Source organism: Homo sapiens, chromosome 14, assembly GCF_000001405.40.
Source record: "Homo sapiens chromosome 14, GRCh38.p14 Primary Assembly".
NCBI lineage: Eukaryota > Metazoa > Chordata > Mammalia > Primates > Hominidae > Homo > Homo sapiens.
In genome coordinates this window covers 27,595,751-27,612,357 of record NC_000014.9, presented here as the reverse complement: position 1 = coordinate 27,612,357, position 16,607 = coordinate 27,595,751, and the positions used below count along the sequence as shown (strand labels likewise).

The 16,607-nt window shown below is 34.5% G+C and overlaps 1 long non-coding RNA gene across 2 annotated transcripts in view; it reads left to right on the top strand.

The window, feature by feature from the left end:
• Window positions 1–16,607, top strand: part of MIR3171HG (MIR3171 host gene) — a 351,396-nt gene that overhangs the window by 60,864 nt on the left and 273,925 nt on the right. The window lies entirely within an intron of this gene.

Here is a 16,607-nt window from a genome sequence, read left to right as displayed (position 1 = left end):
CCGTGACTTGGTGACCAGTGTTTGTGTCCATGTTCAATTGAGTTCAAATTTAATATTTAACTTTTCCTCCACAGTCCAATGAACAGTTCTCATAGGATACATTTACATGCCTTCGGTTTTATGGTACTACCTAGGGGAATCATCCCCCGTCAGATACAATACCTATTTTCGTAGCCATTTATGTGAAGGAGTCACAACTAACTTACATGAAATCTGTTTAAACATCTCAAATTTCATAACTCTATTAACTTATACATTTTTATGCTTTGGTCCCAGGACCTTTTTTTTTTCTACCCCCAGTCCATTTTACCTTTTCCCTTGAAAGAGGATCTGGATCCCCAGCAGTGGGTTGAGCCAGGGAACTTGGTCTCTTTTGTCAATCTTTATCATAATTTGCCTTAGCCTTGCTTCATGCAATATTAGCTTATTATTATAACCTTTGCCTTTTGATATTTCTTAAATTTCCCCAATTTGGGGTAAATGCAGAAAATGGGTGTGGGGCCTTTTAATGTTAGAGAATGAACAGGGTGGGTCATAATAAAGCCAGTCCCACAGGGCTTTCATATGAAGCATATTAACTGCTTCGTCTGGGGTGCTCTACTTGGCATTTATAGGGAGAGTTAGGCAGCTTCCTTCTTAGGGTAAATAGACCTTACAGTGGCATTTATCTGGGTCACTGGACTGGTCGTTCTCTCAGGAATAACCTCCTGTGCATTTGGATTACATATATTCATCAGTAATTGTTTAATAGTAAGCTATGGGTCTTGCATTAACTTAAACAAGCACTTTCATTCTGTAGCATTTAAAATTAAAGATTGTGTCCTTAAAGTAGTTATTTTTACAATTCACTATAGTAAAGATTTCTCAGGAAACTGATTATATCAATCTACAAAATGGAACAATTCCCTTACACTCTGGTTTTAATAGTTACTTGGTCTTGCCCTTCTCCTGCATTGACTAACTCATTGGTAACCACAGGTCTAAGAGGTAAGTTTTGTTGCCCTGGCTTAATTTTTCCTTTTGTGTGTAGCTTTCAGGCTAGTGGCCTGACCTGAGACAGACCCACATCTGAGCTTGGCCCAGCCTTAAGGCCAAACCCAGCACTCTTTTACTTTCATTTAGCTATTGCAGATAACGATAACCAAGAGATTAAATATTTTGTTTTTTCTTACTAATTTGCATTTCTGTAATTAATTAGTTCCGTGAACTAATGCCCTGGGACTATGAGTATGATTCGTCTCTGAATTCCACCATAGCTTTTACCTTTAGTAATTGAATGCAGCCCAGCTGCAGCTCTTTAAGATGGGTAAACACGTGGCCACTCAATAATCAAGCTTTCTCATCACCCGCCTTTTTATTTTTCTCTTTACCCATTTAGTTTTATTTATACTTTCTTTTTCTTTATTTTAAAGCAACTCTGAAATGGTCTCCAAACTAGAAAAAAAAATTACATTTTCCTTAGCAAAACCACATCATTGTGTTTTTACAAACTTCACCAAAAACACCTTTTACTGTCTATTATTTTAACTCTTAGTAACCCAAATTCCCAGTGAAAAAAATTGAGGTTGTGTAATGTAGCATAATATGACTTTAAGATTTTAAACTACTAGAGATAATTTTGGGACTAAATTTACCAAATTAAGCTTACCAAAGATTACCAAGGTCATGTGAATTAAAAAGGATCTGAGCTAGCTTATATCAGACTGATAGGCACTTTCTTTTCTTTAAACAAATTGATTAGAGCCCTTTCATATAGTTTGGTAGTGAAATATCACTTCCACATGACACATACAAACATATAGATATAACAGACATACAGACAAGAGCAGATCCAAAAGATTTTTCTTTTGCTTATTTTCAAAAATTCTCTCCCTTACTTTAGATAATTAATTTTAAAAGTTACAGGAACCAACAAAAGGTGAAAGAAAGAGTTACCATCCCAGGCCTTGCAAAAGAGAGAAAGAACTGAAGCAACAGGTTGCAGTTTCTGAGATATTAATCTGAATAATTTCAAAAAGAAACATTATAGAATTTAAAAATTAAAAACTTCTCACACTAAGAGTAACTCAATATTTTTAATAAAATCTTCTAATCAATTTTTTAGTTTTACATTTGACTATTTTTAATATCAAATTTTAATTTTTAGGAAAACAATTTACTATAATTTTCTTTAATTATAGCCAACTTAATCATATAACATTTTTATAATTTCCTTTTTTACTAATCTTATTATGACTTACACAGACCACTCACAACATTTTTGGACTTTCTGGTTTGTCTTAAATATTCCTCTTTTTTGAACAATGAATCATTTCATTTTAGGACAAAAATTCATCATGCAAGATTTTTTCTTATATGATATTGCTTTTCTTTTAAGATTTCTTACCAAAAATACCTCTTCATATCTGTAACTTTCTTTATATCTCTCTTATTTCTTGGTTCATTTCACCTTGTTTTATATATAACTTAAATAACCTTTGGATTAGACAAAAAATATTCACCTTTTAATAAAAACATTTTAAAAAATGTTTTTTCGATAATTTTTAATTTGGTAATTACCCATTTAACTAATTAAAAATATTAATTAAAAGTAACATCAGATATAAAGCTGGCAGAAATAATATCTATTATTTAATACAACCTTAGATTCTAAATTATTTGACAAGTTTGTTTACAAGCATTTATTCTAGTACATTTACCTGGTTATTTAATAGTTTACCTAGATTACTTATAAAAACTCTGAATATTATCATTTAAAGTTATTTTGCTGTAAACTATCTTTAAAGCCCATGAATTTCAGTTGTTCACCTAAGTAAAATCTTAAGGCTAAAAATACAGATATTTTACCCATAACTCAGAATTTATCTGTTTTCATTAAACAAAAAAAAAAGTTTTATTTATTAAAATTTACACAAGGAAAGATCATTCTGTTTTGGTATGGGGTTATAATTGTATAAGTGTTTTGGCAAATTTTGAAAGCTTATAATAGTATTCTGTGCCCATAAGTATAAAACTGCTTGATTAATTAATGAAAATAAAAATGCTGACAATCTTAAGACATTTCCAATACTACTTTACTAATATTTTTAAAGGCAGTTATTTATTAAGGATTTTACTTAAGTCACATGAACTTGAAAAGCATTTGGGCTTCTTATTTAATTTATGCATACTCTTTAACTTTAAGCCAATTTGGTACCTAGTGGCCAAAAACACGTAACAAAATATGTGTACGTACACATAAAACATACATACACACTCATATAAACAAAGATCCTGTAGCTTTTGCTTCAGAACCATAGCTATGAGATATTCATACAAACTCACCAGTTTGGGAAGGAAAAAAAAAAGTTGTATCTAAACTGGTTTTTATCTCAATAGAAAAGTAACATCTGATGTAAAGCAGGCAGAAAATAAAATAAATAGAGAACTTAGGAACTCTATAGTTGCAGGTGGACTTTGGGGCTCTGAATTTTTTCTTGATGTAATTTGCCCATCAGTTTCAAATGTGCAAAACAGATTATAATATATAGACCAGCTGGAGTACTAGAAAAACCTGACATGCCTTTGAAATTTCTCATTTTACACAAACACTTGCAAGTATAGGTGCCATAAGACTAACGGGGTACCCAAAAGGAAGCCATTCCTTTTGAGTTTTCTCATTCTTAGACTATTTGTCTTCTCCTTCTCCTTCTTTTTCCCTAAAGGGAGGAACTGAGCTGTGACCTAGGGTTTAGTGTAGTAGATTGAAATGTGCTGGTTGTAGGTGGGACTCCACAGGGTGTCACCATTGAGTTGTTTCTGTCCTCTTACATGTCTCAGTTACTCTCTATAGAAGTATTGCACCTTCAAAAATCCTCAAAATGTTGAGCGCCCAGCTCCTATATGCATTTCCCTTTTAAGCTAATTTTGTTTAGGGCTCCCTGTAGGGCCGCTGTATATCATGGGGTGTCAACCCCCCAGACATTTGCAGTTGGCCCTTGGTCACTCAGGGACACCTTTTGGCCGAGAAGAGCAAAATGCCTTGCCTCTTTGGAGCTGAGGAAACTCAGTCTCTCATTTAACTATAAAAATGACAGTTTAGTTTCTCATGCAAATGCACATACAAGCCAACCAAGCTTAATTTGGAGAGAAAAAGTGATGGAGAAAATCCTATAGAATGCACCTCCAAATTAGAATTAAGATCCTAAACGACAACCTCCTGGGGGGAGGATCCCACAGCTAAGACCACTTTATCTAGACTGTCCTCAGCCACCCCTAACTCTCTTTTGCCAAGGTCAAATCTTCTCATATTACAAGGTAATCTCTGGTACCCAAAAGTCAAAGAGGTCAGGTAATGTAATACAAGAAAGCAGGGCTGTAGACCCAAGAAGAATCTGTCCATGACTCTTGAAACTCAACAAACTAAAAAGAACACCCCCAAAAGGAGTGAGTCGTGCCTTTGTTCTGTGTTATTTAAGGGGTTTGAATCATTAGAAACCTTCTCTAGATTTTCCTTGGTACCAAAGATGGCAAAGGTGGAAGGAGGAATAAAGTGGAAGAAAAGGAAACAGAAGAACAAGTTTTTAAGACAAGAAGCAAACAGAAACCAAATGCATGTCTTTGTTGTTGTTGCTGCTGCGGTTGCAGCTGTGAGGAATTTTAGCCAATTCAGAGGTCTTGTTCCCTATAATTCGAAATTCTCACTCGGATTAGATCAAGTCAGGTAGCGTTGGTCAAATTCGATGAGAGAAAGACTGGAACAACAACAACAACAAAAAAACACCCAACAATATGATTAATGAGCACTCTAATGTAATTAGATAAATTAAGACCAGTTGGTTGGCAATTTTAACTTTTAGTCATTGAGGACAATTTCTAAGACAAAACTCCCCAATTCAGCTACTTACCTAGGAATGGGGCCCCAGCTCAAGACTGCGCTTTACCATCTTAGAAGCAAGAAGAAAAAAACCTCTCAAACTCACCTTCCCTGTTGGAAATTAGCTGAAACTCCAGAAAGGGGTTACTTGCTCTCCATTGTCATGGAAGCAGAAAAACTCGCCTTCCTTGTTGGAAGCAAGTAAAACTCCAGAAAAGGAGTTGTACAGCAAAATAAACCTCTCATCTCAACCAAATTTGGGAAGATCAGGAATTCTCTGGGGGTGGGGGAGCTCCCATACCTCAGCAAATTGTCCTGTTGGTTTGAGCTGTAAGGATAACTCAAGCTGGTACCAAGTACCAATAGGAGATTTGTTCAAAGTCAGGGACACCTCTACTCAGAATTCTTCTGTGGTTACCAATTTGTAAACCCAAAAGTATTTGAGACGGGTCTCAATCAATTTAAAAAGTTTATTTTGCCAAGGTTAAAGATGTGCCCATCACACAGCCTCAGGAGGTCTTGATGGTATGTGCCCAAGGTGGTTGGAGTACAGCTTGCTTTTACACATTTTAGGGAGACACAATACATCAATCAATACATGTAAGCTTTACATTGGTTGTATCTGAAACGGTGGAACAAATAGAAAGGGAGGGGGCTTCCATGTCATAGGTGGATTTAAAAATTGTCTGATTGGCAATTGGTTAAAAGAGTTATTATCAATATAAATAAATGTCTGGGTAATAATAAGGGGTGGTGGAGGCCAAGGTTTCATCATGCAGATGAGACCTCCAGGTAGCAGGTCTTCAGAGAGAATAGATTGCAAATATTTCTTATCAGACTTAAGGTCTATGTTGATATTAATGCTGGTTGGCTTTTCCTGAACTCCAAAAGGGAGAAGGGGTCCATTCATATAGTTAGGGAGGCTTAACTTTTATTTGGTTTAAAAACTGACATTCAATTTTGTATATTTATGATATTTTAAGAAAGTAATTTTAAAGTTTGCATGGGTTAGGACTAATAGGGAGTCAAAACACAATAAGTAATTTGAACATCACAGAGAAACTAATATATGAATTAATAACTATAATTTGAGATTAGAGTAATGAAGAATTGGCGAAGATAACACAAAAAGAATAGACAAAAGAGGCAGTAGATGAAGCACCTAAATAAGACTCCTCCTGGGACTGAGATCCAGACCATGTTGCAGATGGCTTGGCTGTTGATCAATAAGTGGCAAGGAAATTGCTGTAATCTTGTGCCAGTGGAACTTATTTTTCTTCAAATGTTGCATATCATTTATTAGCATCTATAATAAAATATAAGTACTTGGGTATTATCTTGCATCCTTCCCCAACCAACATACAAATAATAATTTTCCTCCCCATTGTTCAAATATAGTTATAAATAAGTATTTGATTCTCATAATTTAATGTTTATATTATACATTGACATAAAAATTAAGCCAAGCCTTGTAGTACACTATCAAGATTTTTTATTTCTTGAGAAAATTTTATTTTTTTGGAGTTAATCATTAATGTTTTCATTGGCTTAGTTTTCTAAGCTTAATGGATGAATTTTGTAATAAATATTTTAACTGTTTCCATATAGCATAATTTTTATTACATTATTTTTTCCTGGAAGAGATCAGTGCTGGATCATTAAGAACTTGGCATCAACACCAACTCTTCAACATTTTCTTCTGCAGTTTAGAAGAGAATGTAGCACCTACAATTCCCAACATATATTTACTCTTACAGTTTTAAATTAGAGTTAGCTAGTGAGAGACACTGCTGTAGATTTAAAAGGCAGACGAAAAGGTGAAGATTTTACTGGAGAAGGTTGTTGTAGCCAGATGCTTGGGTCTGTGTGAAAAAAAAAGCAGTAGTGTCCATAAAACCAGTCTTCCCGCAGCTGCAGCTGAAATTGGAAAGAACTTCCTTGAGTTTCTTGAAAATTTCAATGGCTTCCTGCTTAGGCAGTTTTTCAAAACAACTTTCCCTGGTGCCTCAGGCTAATACTTTAAGTGGTACTTTCCCTGACTGGAAGTCCTTCATTATCATCTTGGGAAATCCCCCTCCCATCGCTAAATATTTGAGTCCCCTCTTCCTTGCTTTACATATGTCAGTGTTTTCCTGTATACTCAATCTGTTTTATTGCAGTACATTGGCCAGTATCTTTCTGGAAATAAGTGAACGGGAACTTTTTTTTGTCTTTGTTGCTGTTGTTGTTTGTTTTTGCCCTTTGCAAGCCAGGAAGCAAATGTAGTTTATATTTATATTGATAAATCATTCAGTTACAAAATTCAATGTAGAAAACTTGTTGCTGCATAGCATTCTAAATTTTTGTTTATGCAATCCTTTGGCTCCCTTTTATTTTGTTTTTCCTTCCAGAAGTTTTTTGGCATTTTGTCTTTGTTCCTAGAATTCTAAGATTGTACAGTAACATGTCTTGGTGCATATTCACTTTTTTGAGGTGAAATATATATTTAGTAAAATTATCTACTTTTAATTAATTTATGAGATTAGGGAAATATGTAAATTCATGTAACTACCCCTGCAATCAACAGTTAGAATATTTCAGTCATCTTGTTACATAGTTTAGACTTTTCTAGAATTTCAGTCTTTAGTGTCTCTTTTCTTTAACTTAGCATACTACTTTTGAGATTCATCCATACTGTTGTTTTGTCAGTACTTTATTTCTTGTTGTTGATGAGTAGTATTACATTTTATGAAGATACCGTAATTTGTTTATATATTTTAGTTGATGTGTCTTTGGGTGTGTTTGGGGAAAACACTTAAAATGTGTTTTTTCTCTGCTCTCACACCACCACAACAATAATTAACACAGAAGACTTCTGTGACCAAATGTGGGTGGTGGTTCTCTCCACCACTAAACAAGCAGTCTATGCTGCAATGGACACAACTAGGTGTCCTTCAATTCAGTTGTGACACTGTCTACCCAGAGATAGTGTCAGATCCTGCACATTTGTTAGAGGCATTAGAACCAGAGCAACTCCATTTTGAATAGAAGCTGGGTAAAATGAGGCTGAGACCTACAGGGCTGCATTCACAGGCGGTTAAGGCATTCTAAGTCACAAGATGAGATAGGAGGTTGGCACAAGATACAGGTCATAAAGACCTTGCTGATAAAAACAGGTTGCCGTAAAGAAGCCAGCCAAAACCAAGAAGGCAACGAGACTGACCTCTGGTCGTCCTCACTGCTACACTCCCACCAGTGCAATGATAGTTTACAAATGCCATGGCAATGTCAAGAAGTTGATGTTTAGCCCTATCTGGTCTAAAAAAGAGAGGCATGAATAGCCCACCCCTTGTTTAGCATATTATCAAGAAATAACCATAAAAATGGGCAACCAGCAACCCTTGGTTCATCTTTGTCTGTGGAGTAGCTATTCTTTTATTCCTTTACTTTCCTAATAAGCTTGCCTTCACTTTACTCTATGGACTTGCCCTGAATTCTTTCTTGCCCAAGATCCAAGAATTCTCTCTTGGGGTCTGGATCCAGACACAACACACTGAGGGCTCAGTCTTACAAAACTGCCCCTCTTTTCCACCAGTTGCAAATCCTCCCCTGAAACTTCTGACTGCTAACTTCAAGTTCAGATTGCCATGATCCTCTCTTCAGGTTTGACTAATTTGCTGGAGTGGTTCACAGAACTTGGGGATGCACTTAACATTTACAGGATTATTACAAAAGATAACAGATGAAGAGATGCATAGGGAAAGTCATCGGAGAAGGGGTACAGAGCTCCCATCTGCCCGCCTCACCACCACCAGGCTCATCACTCTCCAAGAACTCCCACTGGCTCAACTATTCTGAGCTTCTCATAACCCTGCTCTCTTGAATTTTTATGGAGACTTCATTAAGTAGACACTATTAATTAAACTACTGGCCATGGGTGAACAACTTGGCTTTAGGCCCTGACTGAGAGTTGTAACCCTCTAATCCTACCTTTGTCTTTCTCCTGAGAAGCTCCATTCTGAATCTATCAGTCAACATTTGGATACGAAAAGACAGCACTTTGGAGATTCCAAGGATTTTAGGAATTGTATGCCAGGAAACAGGAAAGAACACCAAATATATATTTCACAATATCACAGGGTGGTTTTGGATATTTGTCATTTCGAATACAGTTGCCATGAACATTTACAAACAAGTCTTTGTGCAGGCATATATTTCCCTTTCTATTGCATAATTACCCAGGAGTGGATGGATTAACTAGGAGTGGACTTAATAAGATGCTGTCATTCAGTTTTCTAATATTGTGGCATAATTTTTATTCCCCCCATTGTGCTGGTAACCGATGGCCTTTGAAATGTGGAAACCCATGCCATTTTATTTTCGGGAGTCTTGTTATAGCATGTCTTTGATAATTTCCTTTTCTTTTTGCCAAAATCATTAATTAGGTATAAGACATTCTGTGTAAAGATTTTAATTTTATGAATCTTATGATAAATCAGAAATCCATAATATTTTTCCCTCTTTGGGGCCAAAAAAGTGAGACTAAAATGTGTCAAATCTAAATTTTTCCTTTTTTATGAAGACGACATTAAGTCTCCAGAGCACAAAAATTCTACAAAATGAAAGAAAACAAAACATACTATTTTGATGTTTGTAGTGACATGAATATGTTAATATTGAGCTATACACTTGCAAGTAACATCTTTATTATATTTTATTGGATTTTCAACATTCTAATTGTTATTCTATAATGGTATTTGCTTTTCTTGATGTTTTTCGTTAAAGACATTTGCTTAAAATGTGAATAGAATGGCTATGCTCTGCTTCTTCAGAATGAATAAAAACAACTTAGTAGCAAAGTCATTTTCAAAGAAGAAATATCAAACTTCAAAAACAATTAAATAGATTAAAGCATTTTCTTAAAACATGTACTTATTGAGAGCTTGGGGAGTTAAACACAGAATTTTCATTAGAATGACTGAGAAATTATGCATGAAGTTTCTTACTTGCTTTGATGAACATTCTGCTTTTCCTATTGAATTTGAAGAAAGCACGTAATTACGTAGTTTAAAGGGTACCTGGCAATCTTCTCAACACAGACATTCTCTAATTTTAAGTATAAAGTATTTATGAGTGTTTTTGAAGTTCAAGCTGAATAACAGGTATAACTGTTTTACATTTCACTCCTATACACCTTCTTACTCTAGTGCAAAATGTTACATCTATTTCTATTTTTTAAATATAATTCTGACCATTCTGCTATAATAAAACTTAACACTAAGAATTTTTTAATTAAATTTAAGAAAATTCAGTTGAGATATTCAACATTGAGTTTTTTACTTCCTTCATGAAAAGAGTCAGGGTTTTCTAACACAAAGTTGATTTCTGGAAAATGATATGCCAGACACTTATAACACAAAAAGAGTTAGGGACAAAAAAATTACTTGTATTCAATTTTTTCTTTAGCTTTTTGAGGGGAAAATTTAAAAGTTTCTGGCACCCAAGTCTCACAGAGCAGCGTTTACTGGATCCACAAATTTATCCAAGGCTACTCTGTATATCTTGCATTTCCAGGTCTGTTGTACTTATCTAGTCAGATTCTTTTTGACTTTTTGCCCGCACAGTAATGAAAAAAAAATCCATAGACTTAATCAATTTATCACAGGTTTTATAGATGATATAATTAAATTAAACCATTTACATGAAGAAGCAAGATAGAGTATTTTTGACACTTGGTGACACTACATAGATCTAAAACGTGAATTCAAAATCATCAATTGCAGCAGATCCTGTTGATGCCCTGTCTGACATCCCCTTGGTCCATTTGCATAACCTGAAGTTGTGATAGACCATTTCAGTATATTCGTAGCTTCCTATTTAAATGCCTGAATGGCTCAGCTTCTCTGCTAGAAATTTGGGAGGGTGCTTTCTCAGATACTGTGTGAGATTGTTGAAGCCTAGAAGAGTGAAGAAGTAACTGTCCCTGGGGCAAACCTCACCACATACTCATCCATCCTCTTGTAGGACAATTCAGAGGTATGTTACAGATAGTCACTTAGGCTCCCAGTGTGTTTCATCCCTGTTTCTCACAAGGACGTTCCACTCATTAATACATGTTGCTGGCTTTTCTCCATTCCCTGTCTCACATTTACTACTCTAACTGCACACACTTAAATTACATTATAGATAAGCTTCTTGTACCCAGTCCTTGTTTCAATATTTGCTTGAGGAGTAACCAAATTTAGAGCAACAGATAATTATTTCACATTATTATTCCAAACTACTAAAAAAGAAAAAATCATCTTAATAGAAATAATGTAATTTTTTTAGTAGAAGTAATTTGAAATATCTGGATATTCATTTATATCTTTTAGTTATTTTTACATGATAATATTATAGATTATTAATTTTAATGACATTATCCATACATTTTGTGTTTTGTGGAAGACAGTATCGAAGGAAGAATCTGTGTAAAAATGCCCTAAACATTTTTTTTCTAGAGTCACACATTTATCCAAGGCTATTCTGTATATCTTGCATTTCCAGGTCTGTTGTTATTATCTTATTATTCATTATGCTCAATCCATATGTTCTAAATTAATTTTATTAGCTATTTTACATTTAATTCTACTACCAAACCTTACATTTTCATATACAAAACTTCTTAAGGCTAGATTGCATTTCTGTAAACTGGTTTTTAGTGTGTGTCTGACATATCACTGTTCCCAGCAAATAGAAATGAAGTAACATGTATTCTCAATTGAAATCCAGGCCTTCAAAAGCATGTTGCTAAATTTACATGCAATAAAATGTTTATGAATGTATTTTTTTTTTTTTTTGAGACAGAGTCTCACTCTGTTGCCCAGGCTGGAGTGCAGTGGCCTGATCTCGGCTCACTGCAACCTCTGGCCTCCGAGTTCAAGCGATTCTCTTGCCTCAGCCTCCCGAGTAGCTGGGATTATAGGCACCTGCCACTGCGCCCGGCTAATTTTTGTATTTTTAATAGAGACGGGGTTTCACCATCTTGGCCAGGTTGGGCGTGAACTCCCAACGTCGTAATCCATCCACCTCGGCCTCCCAAAGTGTTGGGATTACAGGCATGAGCCACCGTGCCATGCCATGAATGTATTTCTTTTGGTAACATTCTAAACCGGTTTGTAAATGTTACATTGGTAACTAATATAACTATTCCCTCCCACAAAATTCATCTATTTAATAATGAACATCATGATGGAAAATATTATAAAATTTAATTTGGTCTATTTAGGGTCCTGTAGTGCATTACCAATTAGACAATAAAAACAAGCAGAAGAGAAGTTGACACTCTTCAAGGGTTTCAGTTTCTATGTAGATGACATTTATATCTTTTTTTCCTTTAGGTATTAAAAAAAAGTAATATCACAGTTTTGATGGAAGTTACATGAGATACGTGGTATCTCAGTGCGTTGGTGCTGTTATAAGAAAATATCACAGACCGGAAAATTTGTAAACAATAGAAATTGATTTCTCACTTTTCTGGATGTGGGAAAGTCTAGTACACCTATCACAGGTTGATTGTGAATTTACATGTTAAAGGCAAGTTATATTGACATTTAAGAGTTTAAGATCAATACTTATTATAGAGTATATTGGGGTAAACAAGAACCTACACTATGTTTTAAGTATAATATTTTAGAAAAATTTTAGCTTTCTTTGTAAAATAAATTTTTGTTATGAGGAAATATCTTTAACTATGTTCTCAAGTTATTAAAAAAATACAATTTTCTATACCAATTGAGCTTACTAAAGTTACAGCAACCACATCCTTGAAGTTATTTTCCTTACAGAATCAAAGAGAAGAAAATCAAAGTTCTTGTAAGTATAGATTATATCGTTGAGTCCAAATAATGTCTGTAACACCCTCATTAATTTAGTCCATATAAAAATGTTTAATATCTGAGTCATAAGTTCAAAATCCTTATATATATTAGGGTTGTTGTTTCAAATCAACTGTGTAATGTGCCAAAGATGTCCATTGTTATTAGAGATCTTCCTTATCAAATGGCAGCTGTTGATTATAGCCTATAACTTCTATTACGTTTCTATTCAGTGCCAAAAAGATGTGCAATTTACAATTTTATGTTTCTATAAGTATAAATTCCAGATAGATAGAAAATAAATAATACATAAATGCAATGTCTAAATGCAAACCATTAACAAGTGAATCTTAACTTCATTTTACATATTCGATGTTTTAAAATGTTTTCAGTGAAATTTATAAGTATTATTACATTGTATATCTAATACAATATGTGAAGAGAAAAGAATAGCAGCCCAATTTTATGGAAATGTTAATTTATTTATCATATTAGATTACAAACCAGCTTTATCTTTATATAGCTTAACATCCTGCATTGTTTCTTAGCATTTTTCTTCCACTGTCTCATAGCAATAAATTATTATTTGGGAAATAAAACAAATTTCATTAGATCTCATAATTTAGTTTTCATAAGATACACCCAATGAACTATTAAAATATAGAATTTGGGATCTGGGGACCAGAAATAAAAGTTTTAATAGAGACCTAAATTGATTCTAATATAAGTTGTTTATTAGTTCTTGCTCTCTTTTTGTTTCTCTTGTTAAGTCTCTAGAAACACATTTCACAAACTGTAGTACAGTACAGTTGTGTGCAGTTTTTACTATGGTTTGTGAAATGTGTTCCTAGAAGGTTGAGAGGAGGAAAAAAAAAAGAGAGCAGGGACTCCTGCAGATCAGTTTGTGTAAGAAAAATCCACAAACTGGCAAAGTGGAATGGAATATGTCAATAAATATGCACAGGCATAAACCTAAAAGCAGAATAAGATGTAAAAAGAAAGTCAAACTCATTATGGGATAGAGACATAATAAATCAAATAACAATGAGTTATCACATTATAGCAGACATGCAAAGTAAATGCTGCACTTTGGCAGGCTGAGGCGGGCGGATCACGAGGTCAGGAGATCGAGACCATCCTCGCTAATACGGTGAAACCCCATCTCTACTAAAAATAGAAAAAATTAGCCGGGCGTGGTGGCGGGGGCCTGTAGTCCCAGCTACTCCAGAGGCTGAGGCAGGAGAATGGCGTGAACCAGGGAGGCGGAGCTTGCAGTGAGCCGAGATTGCGCCACTGCACTCCAGCCTGGCGACAGAGTGAGACTGAATCTCAAAAAAAAAAAAAAAAAAAAAAAAAAAGTAAATGCTGGATAATGTCCGTATTAAAGGAGATATGTGGATGTACAACACAGTGTCCTGATAGTTGCATGGTAGACTGGTATACTTGCTTCGAAGAGGAAACTGTAAGCTCTTACTTAAATTACATATACACATGAATTGACCTAGCAATTATTTTTGAGGTGCAGGTATAGGCTTCTAAGGAAACACGTGTAAGGATGTTCATTAATATGAGTACCAGGGAAGGGGATCCTCTTTTCTTTCCCTTTCTAGGGTGGTGGACAGACAAGCTGTGGTAGTGCATACCCACACAGTGCTATACTCTATAGGGATTATATGTAACAAACTAGAATTATACATAATAAATAAGACAGATCTTAAATATAGTGGTAAGAAATGAAAAGGGTAATGCACAGAACAGTTTACAAAATATTATTATGTAAATTAAAATACATCAAAACAGAATGTCCACTGTATAAAAACATGCTGCTAAAGATTGTACATTATCTGTATTAGAATGGTTATCTACAGATGCAAAGAAATGAAAGAGGGATTTGGGAATAAAAAGAAATAAATAATTTAAAAAGAGGAAAAATTTATGCACTGAATGTGATGATGTGTCATAAACTAGGGAATAATTATAATTGTATATGTGACTTTTCTGAGGCATAGTTGTTTACCTGTAGCTTTAATGTATGAGAACTGACCAACTTTTCATGAAAAAAATAGCAGATTTTTATCTACATACTTCATATACAGCATTGATTCCATTTTTATTTATTTTAACTGTACTTTCAATTGGAGCAAAGGATTATGTTTTGCTTTGATTTTTGCAATTTCTTTTCAAGTAGTTGCTTTAAGAAATAGTGTATAGATTTTGATCTATTGTGAAATAGATCTGCAAAAGCCTGTGTGTAGACCCTAAAGTTTTGGGAAAATTAATGAATTATTCTAAAAATAATAAAGGTGAAATATATGTAAAACATAGTGATTATATCCAATATTGATCCATGAAAAGAAGAAGAAAGAAATGGTCTGGGTGTGAGTAAGGGCCTTGTATAAGAGCTATCGGGAAAAGTATTAATATAATGTTCTTCAAAACTGTTTACTAGCCATATTTTACATAGCATTTTGAAAGTAATATGCTTTACCTGAAAAGCCTTAAATAAATAAGGCATGCAAATTTGCTTCTCAGAACTGCATTACTCTTTTACCTCCACCCTCAACAAAGGAACATAATGGAATTCTAGAATGCAAGTTTTGTTGTTTTTGTTTGTTTGTTTGTTTGTTTGTTTGTTTTTTGAGATGGAGTCTAGCTCTGTTGTCCAGGCTCGAGTGCAGTGGCCGATATTAGCTCACTGCAACCTCCGCCTCCAGTGTTAAAGTGATTCTCCTACCTCAGCCTCCCGAGTCGCTGGGATTACAAGCATGCCCCACCACACTCGGCTAATTTTCGTATTTTCAGTAGAGATAGGGTTTCACTTTTTGGCCAGGATGGTCTCAGACTCCTGACCTGCCTTGGCCTCCCAAAGTGCTGGAATTATAGGCGTCAGCTGCCATTCTGGGCCATTTTGCTTAAGTTAATACTGATTTCAAAGGCAGTCAAATTAATACTTAAACACCATATATAATTTGTTAAATCTTCAGAAAATTAACAAGGAAATGTTAATACACTTTCTAATAGAATACAGCTGCATATAAGGTGAGTAAATAGACACTCTTCTGTGACATATTCACGGACCATAGGCTAAAATAAATATAACCAAACACCGCATGTTCTCACTTATAGGTGGGAATTCAACAATGAGAACACAGGGACACAGGAAAGGGTACATCACACTCCGGGGACTGTTGTGGGGTGGGGAGAGGAGGGAGGGATAGCATTAGGAGATATACCTAACATTAAATGATGAGTTAATGGGTGCAGCACACCAGCATGGCACATGTATACATATGTAACAAACCTGCACATTGTGCACATGTACCCTAACACTTAAAGTATAATAATAAAAAAAAGAAATATACTTATTTTTTATTTCCCTTTTATTTCCCTTTTTGTCTTTTCTTACATAAAAAGATGGTACTTTGTTTCCTTCAAGATCATAATGATCACAAACATATTTTGGTTCAGTAAATGTCCACCCCTAAAAAAAAGTAAAACTATATGGACCTGGCAAAACTATTTCTAGGAGAACAAATGCAAACTGTATTTTTAGTGCTAAGAAGCTTTTGTCCTCATCAATAGCTTCATCTGCTTATAGACACATCTTGAGAATCACAAATTTAATCTCTTTTTAATGTACACTGTAACCAATCAATTCTTATAGATTTCATTTTCATCAAAATTTCTGTGATTCAGTATAATGTCATTATTTATCATCTATGCTGTTGAAATAGGCTTTATACAATTCTATGTTTACTTCATCTTGAGTGAATTCATCACAGTTCCAATCATTTCTCTTACCATTTCACAAACCTTCCATCACTATTAGCTGCGTGGTTATTAATATCAGACTCCTACTTACTGATATCAGCAATCTACAATGTCTAAGTCTGACCTAAGTTCCAAACTTATGTCTT